Raw genomic sequence first — 20,070 nt, forward strand, 5'->3', positions numbered from 1 at the left:
ATTTTTGTATTAATCATATGGTATAATTCATTAAATTAATAAATACTTTTCTTTTTCTGTTGTTAAAGATATCCTATATTTGAAAATCCCTACCCTTTGAGTATACATGAGTCCCCTGTTACATGTTGCGAATATTTTGCGGATTGTCCTGTGGACCTTATTCCTGCACTTTATTCTGTTGGAGCTAGACAGAAACGTCAAGGTTACAGCAAAAAGGTATTGAACATGAGCTTCAGTATTTAATGTTATATTTCTTATTTATTCTATATTTATCACCTTGGAGTATTTGATAACATTATACCTTTTCTATGGAAAATAGGTTAAAAATTATTTTTGCAAGCAAAATATGTTTTTCACTGGATTATTTACACACACACACACACACACACACACACGGAGGTATGTAGTATGCTTGCAAGTTGCTTTATACAGTCATCTTTTTTTATAGGAATGGCCCATCAACGGAGGTAATTGGGGCTTGGGTGCTCAAAGTTACCCAGAAATAATTATTACAGGGTAAGTAAAAGTCTGTCTTCACCAAGTAAATCTATAATAGCTAAATATAATTGATTGAGACTACATGAATGTTAACTTACTGGACAGGTAGAGCTTTCCTTTATGTCGTAATATAATAAGAAATGTTATTCTTAAGAACCTGCCAGTTTACCCTGATTTTTTTTACCTTTTTACTCATTTTGTTGACTTTTTAATAGCAGTACCCATTTAAAGAAGGAAGAACTGTAATTTTATTCATCACATTCTTAACATTGCTTTTCTTAGGCATGCTGATGGGTCAGTTAAGTTCTGGGATGCTTCTGCAAGTAAGTATTTTTAATATTCATTATTTGTTATATGTTATACAATCACTGCTTTTATGCATCCTGTTTTATAATAATTGCATAACCAATATTTAATTTGAAATGTAGAGGTTATAAATTTAATGCTTGATTTATTAAATACATGAGTTTAGAATTTTTAATATAGTCTTAATATTAGTAAATCAAGAATAATTGGCAACACAAGTATTCAATTTTATTTTTTCCTTCAAAATTTCTTCAAACCTTATCTTCCTAAGTCAGAGTTAGGGGAAGTGGGAATGTGTTCCAAATCAACAGAAATTTCTAGAATAATTTTAATGCCTGACTCTAAATTTGTATCACTAACGTTCATGTTGTCTTTGCGAAATAAATCTGGTGGTTACATAGTAGCAAAAAAAGAAATAATGCCTTTAATGATTAATGTTTCAAAACACACATGGCAAGCATTCAATTGGAATCCAGTTAACTCAGGATATGTTGTGTTTCCTCATGTAGGAATGTTTAATTATATTGGTACTGTATCTTTTCTAGAGAAGATACATAGAAAATCATTTTAGGAAGCAAACTGTGTTGTTTATTATTTTCATGTATTTACACATTATTTTTCCAAAATGTTTTTATTACTCATTTTTTTAAGATTACCTAAAATCCATTGTGATAATAGATTTTTCTTCATGAATACAATGAGCACACTCTTGTTTGGTCAATGAGAACAAAGAATATATTATCTAAATGTTTAATAGACTAACGTAAATTGAGAAATGAAAATATGATGTAGTTAAATATGGACCATTTTCTATACATAGTATGAGTGATTAAATGTTACCTTATGTTTGATCATTTTATATTAAAGTATCTGACATATATTATCTTTTTTCCAGTAACTCTACAAGTATTATATAAGCTAAAGACATCTAAAGTATTTGAAAAGTCAAGAAATAAAGATGACAGGCCAAACACAGACATTGTAGATGAAGATCCATATGCCATTCAGATCATCTCCTGGTGTCCAGAAAGTAGAATGCTGTGCATCGCTGGAGTTTCAGCTCATGTCATTATTTATAGATTCAGCAAGCAGGAAGTAATCACAGAAGTCATTCCGGTAATAACGTCTTAGTTATTTTCATGGTCAAGTTATTTTCATCCACATTTTTAAATTTGTGGATGATTTGGAAGACTTTTTGCAGTCAGTTTTGTGCAGAACTTTTGAAAACACCTTAGTATTTATATTATTATCTCTCTTTTGTAAAAAACAGCATTTTTTGCATATATTTTCACTGATTATTTAAATCCTTAAGTATAGGATATGTTTCCTTTAAGGAAAGCTAATATGAATATGAGTATACTCTAATTTGATATTAACACGAGTACCATACATTCTAAAATCATAATGCACGTTTGTGTGTGTACTCCCTGAGTCAAGAACGTTTTCTTTCTTGCTAAATCCTTATTTTTTGAAATCTTGCTAAATTTTTACCTTTAAAAATCTTCTTGCCACTGAAGTTTATGTAAAGTGTGTGTGTATGTGTGTATAAATTGTGATAAAATGAGCAATAATTATTAGGAGTAAGTAAACTACCTTACTTTTACAACAGATGCTTGAAGTTCGATTATTATATGAGATAAATGATGTGGAAACTCCGGAGGGTGAGCAGCCACCACCTTTGCCAACACCCGTGGGAGGGTCCAACCCTCAGCCCATCCCTCCTCAGTCTCATCCATCTACCAGTAGCAGTTCATCTGATGGGCTTCGTGATAATGTACCTTGTTTAAAGTAAGTTATAAAAAACTACAGAGGAGTTTTGGATATTATCTTTTAATTTATATAAATTGTAAGCATTAGAGCTATGGTAACATTTTCTTTTGATATAGCAAAATGGCATAAGAATGGTTCTTCCTGTGTTTTGCTATGGTTAGTCCAACTCATTTTTCTATGACATCAAGAGGAATATGATTGCATTTCATGATATTATCCTTAAAATATTAAGGTTTAATCTCCAAACATTCTCGTAAAGCAGCAAGGATCTAACCTGTATATATCGCTCAGTCTTCTAAATCCATCAGTGTTTTTAGTCTTGATTTATATGTAGCTTGGATTTATGTTCCGACTGCTTTCTACAACTCTGAAAATTCTGTTTAAGTCTTTTAAGACTCAGTTGTTTTCTAATCATTTTCTTTTTCTGAATCTTCACTAGCACCACCGTATCTTTATTTAAAACGTTTTATTGTTGCATCCTAAATTTAAATATATCTTGCTTTTATACAGAGATAAATTGGATGAAGTTTTATTTTTTCTGTCCAATTTTTATTATTGAGTGGTTAAAATGTTTAAATGATAGAGGCAGAGAAATAAAACAATGAGTAAGAAGTTAAAATCATTGAAAAAGTACATGAAGACTATGTGATTAATAGTATATTTACAAAGAATTCAACTAGGATAATGACGGAAAGGTGGTTCTGGTAGCACTCAGAGAGATTCAGTAGATTGGTAGAGGGCAAAAGCCAGAGTGTACTAGGTTCAAGGTAGAGAGGGTAGTAAGTAAGAGAAATAATTTGCATTTATTAAAAGGACCAGGCTTTGCACTATTTTACTTTAATCTGCTTGAGTCTCTTCTACTGGTAGATAAATAATTTCTGGGAAGAATGTCTGTGTAATGAATAATGCACTCACACCAAAGATAAAACGGATAGATTTTTTTTATATTACAATCATTTTAAAAATACAGAGTTTTAGAAAATTATATGTTTACAAAAATTGAAGGTCATGTAGTCTAAGCTGGTGGCTCTCATTTGCATATGATTTTGTTCCCTAGGGGACATTTGGAGATGCTTTTAGTAGACACAACATGAGGAAGGGAGATGCTATTGACACTTAGTGGGTAGAGGCCAGGGATAATGTTAAATATTCTACAATGGACAAGGCAGTGCACACAACAAAGAATTACCAGCTCAAAACATCAGTAGTGCCAAGGATGAGAACCTCTGATCCAAACAGTATATACCCATTGAGGTTAAGCAGCTACATTTCTCAGAAAGGTATCAAGTTTTTCTTTCTCTCCTCTCCCTCTCTCATACCTGTACTAGAATATACACACTTATAACTGTAGTTCTAGCACATGTTTTAACTAGAATGAGACTTGGGAATACAGAATTCTACACTTTTCCCCTTTATTACTTCTTCAATACTACTTTATACTTAAAATTGTAAATGTTCCGTTAATGCCCTTGTTTCTGATTTCAATGTTTTTTTCCCAAGCCCTTTGTTACATTTAATTTTTATGACATACGTAGTACAATTTGTCTTTGGGGCATTTTTTGTAACGTATTTCTATATTTCTGAAATAGTGTTTTCAACTACTGAAGTGACATTTTAACAAAATAACAATTCCATATAAACATACATTATCTTCAACAGAATTAGAATGATTTATTTAATTTGTACTTCATAATTTCTGATGCCTCCAAGTTTTTTAGGCTTGTGGCCAGAGATCCAGCAGTATAAAACATTAAATTCTTTTCCTACCTGAAGAAAAAACACCATCAATGCACTGCTTTCTCATGACAAGATAGGTCAGAGGAAATAGTACTGACAGGAGAAGCAGTACTGTTTGGACCAGAGTGACAAGACCTCTTACCTTGGCTTTCTAGGTTAAAGTTAAAGGCCAGCCTGATAGGTGAGTCTTTGTCCTCTGTTCTTAGAAAGGCCTTTTTTTTCCAGTTTTTTTACTGACTGAAAGAGCAAGGATAATAGTTAAGGCAGCAACCAGCAGCAGCTGTTAAAACCAGCAAACCAAAATGCAGAGTACAACAGTACCCAAATCCATTTTAAAGGTAATACTGACTTCGTTCTGCAATTATGAGTTTTCTTTATTGTTCATGGACCTGAGATTATGGTATGGCCATCTTTCTTGTTTGGGAGGACTTTTCATACTTGTGATGGAATGTTATGGCACACTATTAATCTTTTGTAATTATTTAATGGAATGTCACTTAATATAAGAATTCCTTTTAAGCTGCTGGTTAGTCCCAGTAGACAGAGAGTCTCATTAGCCAATCCATTAATGATACATGTGAGGAGAGTCCTTTTTGTTGTTGGCATTAATTGTTATCTTTTGTGTATGGATACACTTTGCCAATCCTGGGATATACACGCAATAACATCTTAACAGTTTTTTCTGAATCCTAAAATAACTAATGACTGTGATTTGATGGTTTTTTTTCCTTTTGAATATCACTGTGGAACTCTAGGTATTTTTTATAGGCAATTTGTTTTAACTTACTGAATTTAATCAACTTAACGTGATTTTGTCACAGTTTTCTAGAGGGAGCTTCTTTTAAGTTGGTGTTTGTGTCTTCTTAACACCACCTCAGAACTTTGTGACCATCCTTAATTTCTGTCAAGATGTTCTAGACTTGCTTTGAATACTACTTGCCCTCACAGGGTAACAGACCAAAATATGATCTTTAGAAATGTTTGTAACATTATTTTTAATAAGCAGTATATTGTTATAGTAGACCACCTGGTGACAAGAGCTAAAAAAAATGGGGGGGTTGTTTTTTAAAAAACAGTCATTAAAACTCTTTTATTTTTCATTGAGTTTTTACATTACTATATAATGTAAATAAATAATTTTAAATCTCTTACCCAAACCACTCTTCTCCTATAATTTGATTAGCCTGGAATTATTCCATTTAATATTATTTATCTGTTAACAAAAGTAAGTCCAAAATTGTAGTATTAAAATTACCACTGATAGTAAAACACTAGATGAATAGTAAAATATAACATGACAGCTGTCCTTTAGACCTTTGAGCATATGACAAGTGATTCATAAGGCAATTACATTGTTTTGAGTTACTTTAATAATTTTTCTTCTGTTTTGGTTTTTTGTAGACTAACCTCATGTATAATAAAACTTTATAACAACTAACCTCATGTATAATAAAACTTTATAAATTCATTTTATCTTGAGACTTAATATTTTAAGGGACAGTTCTTTTTGGAAGTAGCGTTTGGTGTCAGATAGAGGTAAACTGCCCTGTCAGTATGTTTTATAAAATGGATGGAACTTTGAAGCAGTTCAGACTTTAAAGACACACATAGGAGATTCAGCCAGAGTCCTGTCACCTGTAATTGCTTACTAGAATCTACGAAGGAGCCCAGTAATTATACTTCTCTTTACCTATCTGGATTCTTTTTTTTTTTTTTTTTTTTTTTTTTTTAAAGAGACAGGGTCTCGCTCTGTTGCCCATGCTGGAGTACAGTGGTGTGATCACAGCTCACTGCAGCCACGACCTCCTGGGCTCAATCAGTCCTCCCAACTCAGCCTCCCATGTAGCTGGGACTACAAGCGCACACCACCTTGCCCAGCTAATTTTGTAGTTTTTTATAGAGATGGGTTTTCGGCATGTTACCCAGGGTGGTCTCAAACTTGGAGGCAATCTGCCTGCCTCGGCCTCCCAAAGTGCTGGGATTACAGATGTTAGCCACTGTGTCTGGCCCCCATCTGTATTCTTAACACATTAAGAAATAAAATAATTTCAGATGGTGACTAAAAATATCACCTTAATTATTGTTAAAGGTAAAGATGCCAACTAGCACAAGAGCCAGGTAGGTTTCCTGGTACTGACTGACCTGTATACAGAGATAGCCTTATCCTCCCAGTCGTGGCAGTATTAAGAACACTGCCTTTGCAGCAGCAGAAAAGAAAATGCATCCCCTGGGCAGACTTGCTCCCAAATGAACACAGGTTGAGGGGAAAATGAGAGGGCTACATTAATTATTTCCATATTTACCGGCTACATAGGGACTCTACCATTCCTGGGATAGAGTTAGAAAGAGGGTAGAGAGAAGCCCAGGAGTTCCACTGACACTCAAGAAAATACAACAGATGTGGAGAAGCAGTCCTGCTAATTTGAGTGTGTGTGTGTGTGTGTGTGTGTGTGTGTGTGTGTGTGTGTACACATGCTTGATTTTTGTTTTTGGCAGCCATGGGGGGTGGTTTGGCTGGTCACATAAATGCAAATTCTTACTAACTTTAATAGATAATGTTATATATTGTTACATCAAGTTATACATTTAAATTACAACATTACTTAAAATTTTAAGTATTGATTTTTAAAACTAGAAATATAAACAAATCATAGTAAAAAATATCATAAAGTAATGGCTCTATTGATACAGTTATGGTTATTTTGATCCTTTTTCTGGATTTTAGAGAAAACCCAAGAACAAGAATGCATGGGAAGATTGTAAACATAGGGATTGCATGATAACTATTTCCTTTTCTTCAGCCATTATCTTAAAATTAATTTGTTAGTAATAATAATTCTCTAGTATTACCTTACTAAAGGACCAATTTTTGGAGACAGAGTCATGAGAGAGATAACTAGTCTTTTAGTAGAATATTGTACAAGCTAGTGAAAGACATAAAGTACAAGTTTTGGACATTTTTGTCTAAAATCTATATATTAGTGATTTTTTTAAAAATCACAAACAACTTATACCTCATTTTTTTCTTTTAATAGTCTTCAAATAAATGCAGGTATTTATTAACTTGACATTGTTTTGGTCCACAGTCCTAGAGGCCAGTTTCTTAAAGTAAGAAGTATAACAAAAATTGATGTTAAAATATAATATTGAGGCTTTTTTCATATAAAATGCCTTTGTTTACAATTGGTTTATTTGAAGAAACATTTTAAAAGCAGCTGTTTAAGACCAAGGAAGGGGATTGATTGAGACCAGGAGTTCAAGACCAGTCTGGATAACATAGTAAGATACCATCTCTACAATAAAGTTTTTTAAAAAATTAGCCAGGTGTGGCGACATCACCTGTAGGCTGAAGTGGGAGGATTGCCTGAGCCCAGGAGTTCAAGGTCACAGTGAGCTATGATCATAGCTGCACTCCAGCCAGGGTGACAGAGTGAGTTTCTGTCTCTTAAAAAAAGAGGTAAAAAAGAAAAGGCAGCCGTTTGACTTGTTTCTTTTAGCAATGAAATTTTATGTTTTTGAATTATTTTTATTGTCCCTTTGCAAGGTACTTGCTCAAACAATCATTTTGAAACTGTGAGGCTCTACGCATCACTTTAACATTTAAAATACGTTTGTACAAATTATGGAACTCTTTATAAAACTTTTTCCTTAAAAAGTAAACAAATCAACTTGAATATATTAAAAACATTAAAATTATACCATAACCATTTAGAATAAAGCATAACACCCTCTTCCCATTTCATATTTTTAAAATGTAACTTACCTGCTTTCATTTCTTGGCTTAGGTTTCTCATCCTTTACCATTTTGCATCATGTTTGGCTGCCTTTTTATTTTTACTTAAGAACGTTTTTTTGTTTCCTTATACTAACTAAAATAAGAATTCCATGAGTTCTGTGTGTCCTGGTCACTTAAATCTTAAATGTGCCCATATATGTACTTCTAAAATTATCCCTGGAATGCCTGGTTCTGCTCTTGAGAATTTGTCGTGCACATTTAATATGCCAGAGGGAGGGAGGACACTTCCTTGACCCTAACCTTCTATACCTAATTCATAGAAGTAGAAGATAGACCACTCAGACCCTTCAGTCTACTCCTGTGTCAAGGCTGACTCTGGGAAGAAATGAAATGCCTCAGTTGTTACTCTGTCGCTTGAGATGGAGAGCTGTAGCTGATTAGTGGGTATTTCCCTAAGAATAATTCAGAAATTTTGCATCAGCCAGTGTAGAGTTCTGAATGCATTGCCTTGCAAACCTTGACCAGCCAGAAGTGAACTGTAGTTCAATTCGTATAAGCAGTGCCCTCAGTGATTCACATTTACCCTGAAGTCTGAACAACTTTCGCTGTTTCCTAGCATGTATGTCATCAAAACACGAGGTGCCATGGTCTTCCACATTAGAAATACCAACTGAATAATTCAGAAGGGTTCTTACCTCTGAGTTTGGTGGCAGGAAATTCAACATCGAGTAGTCTTCCTGCTGTTCTCTCACACACTGTCATTTCAAGGCAGAAGCCTTAAGAATTGCGGAAGTAACCAGGCTTTGCATATGTTTTGCTACAGCAATTACTAGGCAAAGAGTTGTGCAATCAAAAATGTTTTTAACTTAAAGTCATAGTAGAGTTTTTTACAATAAAAGCAGTCACACACTAAAATTGTTCACATTTTTTAAAAAAATGTGCCTTTCAAGTACACTTGAAGTTTTCTGGTACAAGTATAGCAGGTATTGTTTCAGAAGGTCTCACACTCTTTTAAACCCCTCTTTATCTCTTCCTTTCTAAAATCCTAATGACAAGTTTAGTTCAGCATGGATTTAACTATTCATGAGGTTTGGGAATAGGTAGTCATACCTGCTGACTAGTTTCACTTGTAGTTCTCTACCATCATCTCAAACTTAACCCCATGGTCTCCTAAAACTACCTCTTTATCCCTCCCTCCCTCCCTTCCTTCTGTCTGATTGTACATTCACTGTTTCTTCTTTTCTTCCTCTACCCTACCTCTACTCAACCTCCAATTCATTCAGTAAATATTGAGTACCTCTTTTGTGCCAGTGTTAAAAGTATTAATAGCTGCAAGGTTTCTGCCTTCCTGAAATGTAAAGCCTTGTCTGTTCTTACTCCATTAATGTGTTTCAATCTCCCTTTTTCTTGTTTCACATCAGAATCACAGGAACTTCCCAATTGGTGACCCTGTTCTACTTCGTCTTACCTATGTTCACCAAATTAATCTTCCCCAGATATTTCTTATCAACCTTCATTGGCCTTTAATTCTTCTTTTTTTTTTTTGGAGACGGAGATCTCACTCTGTCGCCCAGGCTGGAGTGCAGTGGTGCCATCTCAGCCCACTGCAACCGCTGCCTCCCAGGTTCAGGCGATTCTCCTGCCTCAGCCTCCCGAGTAGCTGGGATTGCAGGTGCTCACCACCACACCCGGGTAATTTTTGTATGTTTAGTAGAGACGGGGTTTCGCCATGTTGGCCAGGCTGGTCTCGAACTCTTGACCTTAAGTGATCTGCCCACCTCGGCCTCCCAAAGTGCTCTGATTATAGGTGTGAGCCACTGCACCCAGCCTGTCTTAATTCTTTAATAATGAAAATATATTACCTTTGTCTAATTTGACCATCTGCAAAGTACTTTTCATAGGCAGTCACAAGTTCCTCACATTGTGACTAGGTAGTAATACTCCCACTTTCTAGGTGAAAAGACAGCTGGTGAGTAACAGAATCAGTACTCAAAGTCCACCTTGCTGAGAGTTCTTTCTACCAACATCAAACCTTTGTGGACAGGACTTGAAGACCCTCTAAAGTCTGGCCCTGGCCTGTCTTGCTGTCTTCTCACTTTTACTACACACTCCTACCACTGTGGCCACACTTAACACTTATCAATCCTTGAACATGGGTTTTCTGTCTGTGTTCTGCAAGAGCATTTTTTGTAGCATTATCCAGCAATTATTAAAAAAGAGTCTCTGCGAACAAAAATACTGTCACCTCAAAGTCAAGGTAGATTTGTTTTACAGTGAAAGTAGGTGCACACACACACACACAAATTGCTCATATTTGTTGTAACTCATTTTTTTAACTTGTTTTTGGACAGTTTTTCGTTATGTTACTTCATGTTTTTAAGTTTTGTGGGGTTTTTTTTTGGTTTTTTTTTTTTTTTTTTTTTTTTTGAGACAGAGTTTCGCTCTTGTTGCCCAGGCTGGAGTACAATGGCGCGATCTCGGCTCACTGCAACTTCTGCCTCCCGGGTTCAAGCGATTCTCCTGCCTCAGCCTCCAGAGTAGCTGGGACTACAGGCACACACCACCACGCCAGGCTAATTTTTGTATTTTTGGTAGAGACAGAGTTTCACCATATTAACCAGGATGGTCTTGAACTGACCTCAGGTGATCTGCCCTTCTCGGCTTCCCAAAGTGCTGGGATTACAGGCGTGAGCCACTGCACCCAGCCATTTTTAAACCTGCTTTTCTAACTTACATTTTTTTCTAACTTGATTTGTTTTTCTCTTCTTAATCCTTGGACTGCCGCTTCTCCTCAGCTTTCTCCCCAGCCCTCCCTGCCTTCTTTCCTTTCTCCCTCTTCTTCCTCCTCACCTCTTATTTTCTCCTTTTCCTTCACCCCTGCTGTCCTCCCCCACTTTATATGTAGAGTTTGCATATGAGTTATTTTTGTTAATTACATACTTAGTCCCTCCAACTAGGTTAAATGCTTCTAGAAAACAGGATTCTGATTTTTATATATTTAAGTATCTAGTATCGTTTCATATAAAAAGTTATTTATAATCATATAGGCCAATAGTTGAAAATGGTTTAAAGATACCATGTTTTCTTTTATTTTAGAGTTAAAAACTCACCACTTAAACAGTCTCCAGGTTATCAAACAGAACTAGTTATTCAGTTGGTTTGGGTGGGTGGAGAACCACCACAACAAATAACCAGCCTGGCAGTCAATTCTTCCTATGGACTGTAAGTATAAGTTACGTTTTTTTCTAAGTCTCTTCATAGTATTCCATATGTCATTTTGTTTTTAAAAATAGAAAGGATGGTCTTTGTTATATCGTCACCTAAAATGGCATTCTACAATTTTGATTTCAGACGAAATTGACTGTTTATTTGGAACATAATTTCATTCTGAATAACTTACTTTGGGTATGCATGCAGTATTTCCTGATGTAAAGTTAAATGCCTCATGGACCAATAAATTATTTGTGATGAAGTTTTAAAGTCAGTATATCCTCTCCTAAATATACTCCCAGAAATAATTTTCTTATTAATAATTACTATAATGGAAATCTAACAATATGAACCCAGAAAACTGTTATAAAACTGATTTTTGTAAATGTTGAAGTGTAGTTGTGTAATTTTTCTTTCTACTTCCAATTAACTTGTATAAATTGTAAAAGCATGACAATAATTAATATTCATTTATACTGTAGTATACTGTTTTATCAATTCATGCCTTCAGCCATATAGTGTTAATTATACATATTTTTATTACAATATGATAGACTTATAAAGCATTTGTTATTTTCTTGTTTCAGAAATCAACACTGCAGTGTAAGAAACTGCTTCCTAACTGTTCAGTCCCAGAGCTATTTATCATGTGTAGTTCATTGTCTCCTTGCTTGATGCTAGCCCTAGGGACTCATTCATTTTTTTTCTTGCTGGTAGCTCCCACCACCTATTCTGTCTCTTGCAGCTGTACAGTTAGCCCTCTGTATCCACGGATTCAACCAACTGTAGATGAAAAATATTCAGAAAATATAACCAAAAAACAATACAACAATTAAAAAAAATTTTTAAATACAATATAAAAACTATATAGCATTTCCATTGTATTAGGTATATGTAAATAATCTCAAGATGATTTAAAGTATATGGGAGACTGTACATTGGTTACATGCAAATTTTATGCCATTTTGTATTGAGGACTTGAACATCCGCAGATTTTAGTATCTGTGGGGGTCCTGGAACCAAGCTTCTGAAGAAACCAAGGGACAACTGTACATCAAACTAACACTGGCTACAGTCTGAGATAGTCTTCTTTCATATCTTTTATTTGCTGCCACACAATGTAAGAGCACAAACTTTCTTCTTTTAAATATTTATTTTCCACGACCATAAAGAAAACATAGGAAATAAGAAAAAGAACCAATAGGAAGTTTCAAAGGAATCTATTACAGACCTCACTAGGCTTACAGTTGTATTTTGTTTGGCCCTTTCTGTGTATTTTTAGAATTTTAATTAGTTACCAAGACTATATAAATCCATACTTAGAGCTCCAACTTAAAAATCTGATTATGTGGCCGTGTCCGTGTTTCTCCATGGCAGCTTCATCTGGAACTGAGTTGAAGCTTTTCCTCATTAGATGTGCCATACAATCTTAAGTAACCATGATGCTTACATGTCCTCTTTTACTTAGTTATATAGCTCTCTATACATGTCAGTTCTCCATTCCTGGCTTAAAAGATCTTAAAAGAATAAATTTCCTTTATTCATAGTTGATTGGTTTATAGTTCCTGACTCATAATTGAGAAGGTATTTAGAACACCCCAAAGGGCCTCCAAGATGTATGCTTTCTACTTTTTATTCTTGACTTGAATGATTACCAAAACTTACCCCAAAGTATAATCTCCTACTTTCCTAATAGAAGGGAATGTCTCCCACCCATGAAGAGCTCAAAATGCCCCCAAGGTAGAAAAATAGATGTTGCGTTGTGAGATGTGAGAGATTTATATCTCTGATCAAGTTTCAACTCCTATGCCAAATATTTTTATAAATAATGCAGTTGATTGATTTAGTGATATTAAATAATGTCTGCAGAAGATCTAAACAGTTCCGTGAGTAGGCATATGTAACCTGTATTTCAGTTCCTATAGTTGTCTTTTGTTTCAAAGAATTTTCTGAAAGACCCACCATGCTTCTTTCTTCAGCCTTATAGACTGTAGTACATTTTTTTGGAATTATTTGTTTGTGCTAAAATGTTTGTTATTTTCCTATTCCCAGGGTGGTTTTTGGCAATTGCAATGGCATTGCTATGGTTGACTACCTCCAGAAAGCAGTGCTGCTCAACCTGGGCACTATTGAATTATATGGCTCTAATGATCCTTATCGGAGAGAACCCCGATCTCCTCGTAAATCTCGACAGCCTTCAGGAGGTAAAAAGAAAAGAAAAGAAAATTCTGAGCTTTAGGATTTCTATAAATGCTGGCTTACTTTTGTGAATATAAGTATTATAGTTAGGTAAATAGCTTGCCTGATTTAGTCTGTATATATAAACTGCCAAAAACTAGCAAAAGTTGTGAGTCTTATTTTTGTTTTCTATAGTTGTGGTTTTGCTTTTTTTTTGAGACAGGGTCTCACTCTGTCACCCAGACTGGTGTGCAGTAGTGCCTTCACTGCAGCCTTGACCTCTTGGGCTCAGGTGATCCTCCCACCTCAACCCTCTGAGTAGCTGGGACCATAGGCACATGCCACCATACCCAGCTGGTTTTTTGTATTTTTTGTACAGATGGAGTTTTGTCATGTTGCCCAGGTTGGTGTCAAACACCTGGACTCAAGTGATCCCCTGCCTCAGCCTCCCAAAGTACTGGGATTACAGGCGTGAGGCACCACACCCAGCCTGTTTTTCTTTTTAATATTCTAGGATTTTATTGCACATTGAGAAAGAACCACGGGATCAAACTTTTCAGCTAAAATATAATGACAGGAATATTTGTATAATTATTATATAAAAAAAGTTACTTTGTAAGGTTTTGCTCCTTTTCATTGTTTGGTTTTTGTAAGACCAGTGATTTATTGTTTAAACGATTTAATTCAAAGGAATCATTCCCATGTGGGAAAAAAAGGAAAATGCAAAAGTAAATTTTATTTCTTTGAAAATATACCATTCTTAGATAGCTTTGATTAAATGTAAGCCCACACTCATTGAGAATTCTCTTTATAGAGTTCTTTTATGTTTGCTAGGTAATTAGTCTTAATTTTAAATGTTCTACTGTAATACCTCAAGGTACACATGTATACTTAGCTATATATACCAGTACTTCTTGCCCTTTTTTTATTTCATGACACACACAAAAAGATGGCATTTGATATATGGCACACAGGGTACACTAATGAGACTTCCAGTTGTAACTGGCCTGCAGAATCCAGTTTCCCCAGGGCCTGTCCTGCCCAACTGGACCAGAGATTGAGGGCAACCTGTTTGAGGCATACTTAACTCATTTGCAGAATACCAGTGTGTATTGAAACACCGTTTGGGAAGCTCTGGTCTGTACTTCCTAACTCAGTCCCCTCTGAATTAAAATTCATTCTGCAAATCATTTTTCAGTTGTGTTCGGTACATTATTAACTAATACTGCAAATTTTACAATTCATGGGGGGTAGAATTAGGGGATATAGACCTTTCTGTTACTTTGGCTTGATGACTGAATTTTTCTTTCCAAAGTTTTGTTTTTCCATTTTTTTTTAATGTGATCATTTTGTCATGTAATATCTTCAGCAGAGATTGTTGTCCCAACCATACCATTCTAGTATTTTTGTCTCCTTTTATTTCTTCCGCTTTTCATTGCTTCACTAAGGTGTGCTGATTGTGACTTCTTGCATGTGCGGCCTTTCTAGCTTATATTCTGAATCTATGAAAAAACTACGTTCTTCTTTTTTAAGTAAGTCATTTATGCCTTGGCATGTTTGTTCTTTGTAAAATCATTGGGAGTTTTTGTGTTCATTTTTAAAAGAGCTTATTAAAACGTTCTATGTCTAAAACACTGTACTCATTACTTAGATTCATCTCATGACATGTATATGAAAACAGCTATTTAAATACTTGTGCCCCAATTCTATTTCTTTGTAAAGCCAAGATACTAGTATTTAATGCTAGAATGTTAGAAAATTATCATGATAGAGAAGAAATATTTTTTGAAGATAAAACCTTTAGTTTATTTTACAAATGTGGTAAAAATTACACTATCCATAAAATTAACCCCTTTTCTCCATTATACCTTATACTAGCTTATGTAAAATTGCTAGAAATTAAATGCCTAGATTTATCTAAGGATAGAGACTGATTTTTACCATCTAATTTTAAAAATATTTTTTAAAATTTATATTTTATTTATATTATTTTTATATTATATTTATATTATTATTTGCTTTATTTTGTTATTGAAGAATTAGCTATTTAGGCACAGGAGAACTATTTGAGTTTTTCTTTATTAGTTTAAGATATTTACTCATTGTTATGTCTCGCTTTGTCAATATTTAGGGTTGTGTTTTAAATAAAAATTAAAATTATATTAAAGTATGTTTTAAAATAACATCTTAAGAATATTTCTGACTCTGATCCCCCCAAATTTATAAATATTTGAAATAAAATTAAATATAGAATGATTGGTATAAAAATTCTTTGTCATGATGTAAAAAATAATATTCTTCCTAACACATGTATTTTATAACATGTTCTTAGGTGTTGACCAAATATCATCAAATTGTTCTTCAGGCTTTTTTTTTTTTTTTTTTTTTTTTTTGAGACGGAGTCTCGCTCTTTCGCCCAGGCTGGACTGCAGTGGCGCTGTCTTGGCTCACTGCAAGCTCCGCCTCCCGGGTTCACGCCATTCTCCTGCCTCAGCCTCCCGAGTAGCTGGGACTACAGGCGCCCGCTACCGCACCCGGCTAATTTTTTTTGTATTTTTAGTAGAGACGGGGTTTCACCGTGTTAGCCAGGATGGTCTCGATCTCCTGACCTCATGATCCGCCCGCCTCGGCCTCCCAAAGTGCTGGGATTACAGGCGTGAGCCACCGCGCCCGGCCTCTTCAGGCTTTTTTAAAAGAACAGTTTGGAGAAATTTTTTTGTTTTCCTACAAATAGATGCTGATATATTTTTATAAAGAATGTAGTTCACATGAATTTTAAGACAAAACTGTTTAGGCTAAGTTTAAATGTGTCATAGCTGTATTACAATACAGTTGCATTATTGAGTAAAATATAGGCTGTGTTTTCGTAATAAAAATTCTAGAACTGTCACAAGGACAAACAGTAATGAAGTATTTCAGCTACCCGTATATCTGCTAAAAATCTGATTCTACTAAAAATGAACTGTAGGATAATATATATATTGTTTTGCTGGTCATTTTATCATTCAGTAGAATGATAAAACTACTAATGATTGTGTGTATATTAAATATACTAATGATTGTGTGTATATTAGTAGAAAGCAGAACTAAGTAACTGAGTGCTACATTAAGAAGAATCGTTTTTTCTCTGGAAAGTATGAAAGCTATTATTATAATAAAGAGAAACTAAATCCTAAGTTCCTTTATGTAAATGAGGCAGACCAAGCAATAATAAAAAGAATATCAAGATAATTGGTGAATTTAAAAGGGATCCCCAGTTGGTGAAGGTCAAACATTTTACATTTCAGCTGATTTGAGGCACTAATTAGTCAGAATTCTAGAATGAGTTGCTATGTGCATATAGAAAATAGAAATGATCAATAGAAGTCAGCAGAAGTTCACTAAAAGTAAGTTGTAGTAAAATCAATTTTACTTTTTTAATCTGGTAACTACATTGATGACTTATGGCAGCCTGTTGACATAATGTTGCCTGAAGTTAATGAGGTATTGATAATTTTACGGTACTTTTGTGAACCAGACAGGTAGAAGTGACCTAAATACCTAGTTCAGTTTAATGATGGAAAGATTGCTTAAATCAAGAGTCAGCAAACTATTGTCTGTAGGCCAAAACCAGCCTAGTGCCTGATTTTGTAAATACAGTTTTATTGGAAAAATACCATGTTTATTTGTTATGTGTTGTCTATAGCTGCTTTTGTGCTGCAACAGAACAGCTGAATATTTGGTTTTGGCTGAAAAAGCCTGAACTATTTATTACTTGGATCTTTACAGAAAACATTTGCCAGCCCTCTCAATTAAACCATGGTACTGGATTAATGTGTAGTCTAATTACCTTGATGTAGTGTGCCTCAGTTAATGGATGTATTGTGTTGAATAACATAGGATTATGTTTTGTTGAATATTTTAAATAGTAAATGTAGCTTCCTGTCTGGACTTTTGAAAGAGAAGATATGCTTATAAGAAGGGTCACTGTTTAAGGGGGAGGTAGCTATTGCATTTGATGGCAGAGTAACAACTCAAAAAGATAATTTATAGGTAGAAACAGTAAATTTAAACCAAAGAATTGAGATTTATCAACAATACATGTTGAGTCCTGAGTTTAGGTTATAAAGATTGATTGTTTACATATAGAACAGAAAACACAGTGAAACATAATTGGAGATTTTGTTTAAGCACATCTAAGTTTAAATCTCTGCTCTTTTTATAAGTTTGTGATACTAGAAAGGATATTTCTCTGAAGCTCAGTGTCCTCATTTATAAAATGAAGGTGGTGACTCCCTCATGAAGTTGGTGTGATTATTAAGTGAGAGGACACAATGTGGCATACCTAATCATGTGAGTGAACATTGCTGGCATTCAGGTGGTTGTTTTGTTACTGTTGACCACAACTTCGTATGTGCCAGTAATGTGGCAGAACTGCTGAATATGTTAATGTGAGAAGTTTAGAACAGTTAAAATTACAGTTCTATGTTTATGTTGTATTTTCCCCTCATTTTTAAATCAGGGCATTATAAAAAGCAGATTTTGTCCTAAAGCATGCAGAGCTTTTCTACCAGTTAAAAAAAAAAAAAAAAAAAAAACACACAAAACTCTAAGAGTGGCAATTAAGTGGACCATTTCTATAAGTACTTAGGTTTTTGTTCCTGTATAAAATGCCTACAACACTCAGTGCCTCAGTTTCTTCTTCTGTAAAATGAGAATAATACTATCTACTTCATTTGCTGCTGTTAGGGTTAAATGAATTAAGCACTTAAAACATATCTGGCACATAGTAAGTATTCAGTAAATGTCACTTAAGACCACTTAGCTAATTGGGTTGAGTGAGATAGGTTTGAACAGAGCCTAGGTAGCTGTATTGCTAGGAATATTTGTTGAAGGGATTCTGGCAGTAACAGAGGGGATGGATTAAGTTACATGCTATGAAATTCTTTCACATGTATTCACTCAACCATTCAACAGATACTGAGGCTTCCATGTGCTATGCACCATTATAGGCAGCAAAACAGACAAAATTCTCTACCCTCATGGAACTCATGTCCAACTGAAAGAGACACACACTTAAGAAGATAAGTAATATACAGTAGATTACATTAATAGTGCCGAGGGGAAAAGTACTTGAAGGAGGATTTGAAATATCAATGATGGAGTGTTAAATTTAAAATAAAATAGAGTGTCTAGATGATTTCAGGTTTAAAGGACGTGAGAGAGCTATTATCCATGAGGATGTCTGGGAAAACAGTCAGTCAAACAAGAAACATTTCATACAAGAGAACAAGCACAATTTGCTCTGAAGCAGTACACCTGGTGAGTTCAAGGAACAATGAGGAGTCAGTGTGGCTGGAGAAGAGAGAGTACCAGTGGTGGGCAAGTCAGTGAAAGCAGCAGATAGTCTGAGAGGTAACAGGATACAGTATACTGTAGGATCATCTACATCACCCAACCAAGTAGGGTTGGACTTTGACTTTTACCCTGAGTGAGATGAAGGCACTGAATGGATTTTTAGCTTATTTAACAGTTGTTTAATTTAATATCTAAACTAAATCCTCTCTATCCACATTCTGTAATTCAACTCCTAAATGTTTCTTCCTAGGCCTTTTTAAGAATGATAACTATATCATATAAGTTTAAGAACTTTTTTAGTCAATAAGTTCAGTAATTATTATATCATAAGGACCCTCAACTCAAACCTCAAAGTGGTTTCCCCTAAGTATAATCTTTAGTAGCAGTTGACAAAAATACCAAGGGGGTAAAATTTCAAATTTTACCATTTTTATTCAGTACTAGTCACGTCATAAAACTGGAGTGTTATCACTACTGTTTAGAGATCCTCTTAGTGTTCTATCAATAAAGAGTACATGTATATAAACAAATATTTTATCAAAGATTAAATGCATACCTATAATTACATCTATCATCTTAGATCTGTAAAAACCAGGTTTTCTTCCAGGACCATTAGTTTGATGAAGATTTTTTTTAAAACTACTAATTCTCAGGCTGGGCATGGTGGCTCACACCTGTAATCCCAGCACTTTGGGAGGCCTAGGTGGGTGGATCACTGGAAGTCAGGAGTTCCAGACCAACCTGGCCAACATGGTGAAACCCCATCCCTACTAAAAATACAAAAAAACTAGCCAGGCATGGTGGGGCGCACCTGTAGTCCCAGCTACTTGGGAGGCCGAGGCAGGAGAATCGCTTGAACCCAGGATGCGCAGGTTGCGGTGAGCCAAAATTGCACCACTGCACTCCAGCCTGGGCGACAGAGGGAAACTCCGTCATAAAAAACAAACAAAAAATATGACTAATTCTCATTCAAGAACTTCCTATCTAATGAAAAAAACTAATATGTGCCTCAAAATGGGAAACTTTTCTTAGAAGCTGAATTCAGTACTCATGTTCTTAGGAAATGTTACTTTGAAAGCTTTCTCAGTGACTGTTGGAAATGTGACATCATGTCTTTTACCAAAGTAATAGAAAAGCAGATACTGGTGATACATACACATCCTGTTCATCCATCGATGTGACACCTGACTTCTGAGGCTTGGACATGTAACTCCTTGCCCAGCTAGTCCAAACTCTTGATGTGTTTTTGTTTATTTATAATGTTTAGACAATTTGCAGGGGTTTTTATAACGTCAATC

At 34.8% G+C, this 20,070-nt stretch overlaps 1 protein-coding gene across 16 annotated transcripts in view; it reads left to right on the forward strand.

Moving 5' to 3' along the window:
• STXBP5 (syntaxin binding protein 5) overlaps positions 1 to 20,070 on the forward strand; it is a 186,057-nt gene that overhangs the window by 109,399 nt on the left and 56,588 nt on the right. For 9 of the 16 annotated variants that reach the window (XR_007059202.1, XR_007059201.1, XM_047418197.1 and 6 more), the window contains 8 exons: positions 69 to 216; positions 449 to 516; positions 781 to 821; positions 1,700 to 1,920; positions 2,414 to 2,592; positions 11,144 to 11,269; positions 13,310 to 13,461; positions 14,884 to 14,967. Coding sequence is in view for 13 of the 16 variants with exons in the window: in XM_047418197.1 (XP_047274153.1) it covers positions 69 to 216; positions 449 to 516; positions 781 to 821; positions 1,700 to 1,920; positions 2,414 to 2,592; positions 11,144 to 11,269; positions 13,310 to 13,461; positions 14,884 to 14,967 (1,019 nt within the window). In the remaining 3 variants the exon portion in view is untranslated. Of the gene's footprint in view, positions 1 to 68; positions 217 to 448; positions 517 to 780; positions 822 to 1,699; positions 1,921 to 2,413; positions 2,593 to 11,143; positions 11,270 to 13,309; positions 13,462 to 14,883; positions 14,968 to 17,640; positions 19,426 to 20,070 lie in introns of those variants that run through there. The other 7 variants (XR_007059203.1, NM_001127715.4, NM_001394409.1 and 4 more) reach the window with 2 other exon arrangements.

Source organism: Homo sapiens, chromosome 6, assembly GCF_000001405.40.
Source record: "Homo sapiens chromosome 6, GRCh38.p14 Primary Assembly".
Taxonomy (NCBI): Eukaryota; Metazoa; Chordata; class Mammalia; order Primates; family Hominidae; genus Homo; species Homo sapiens.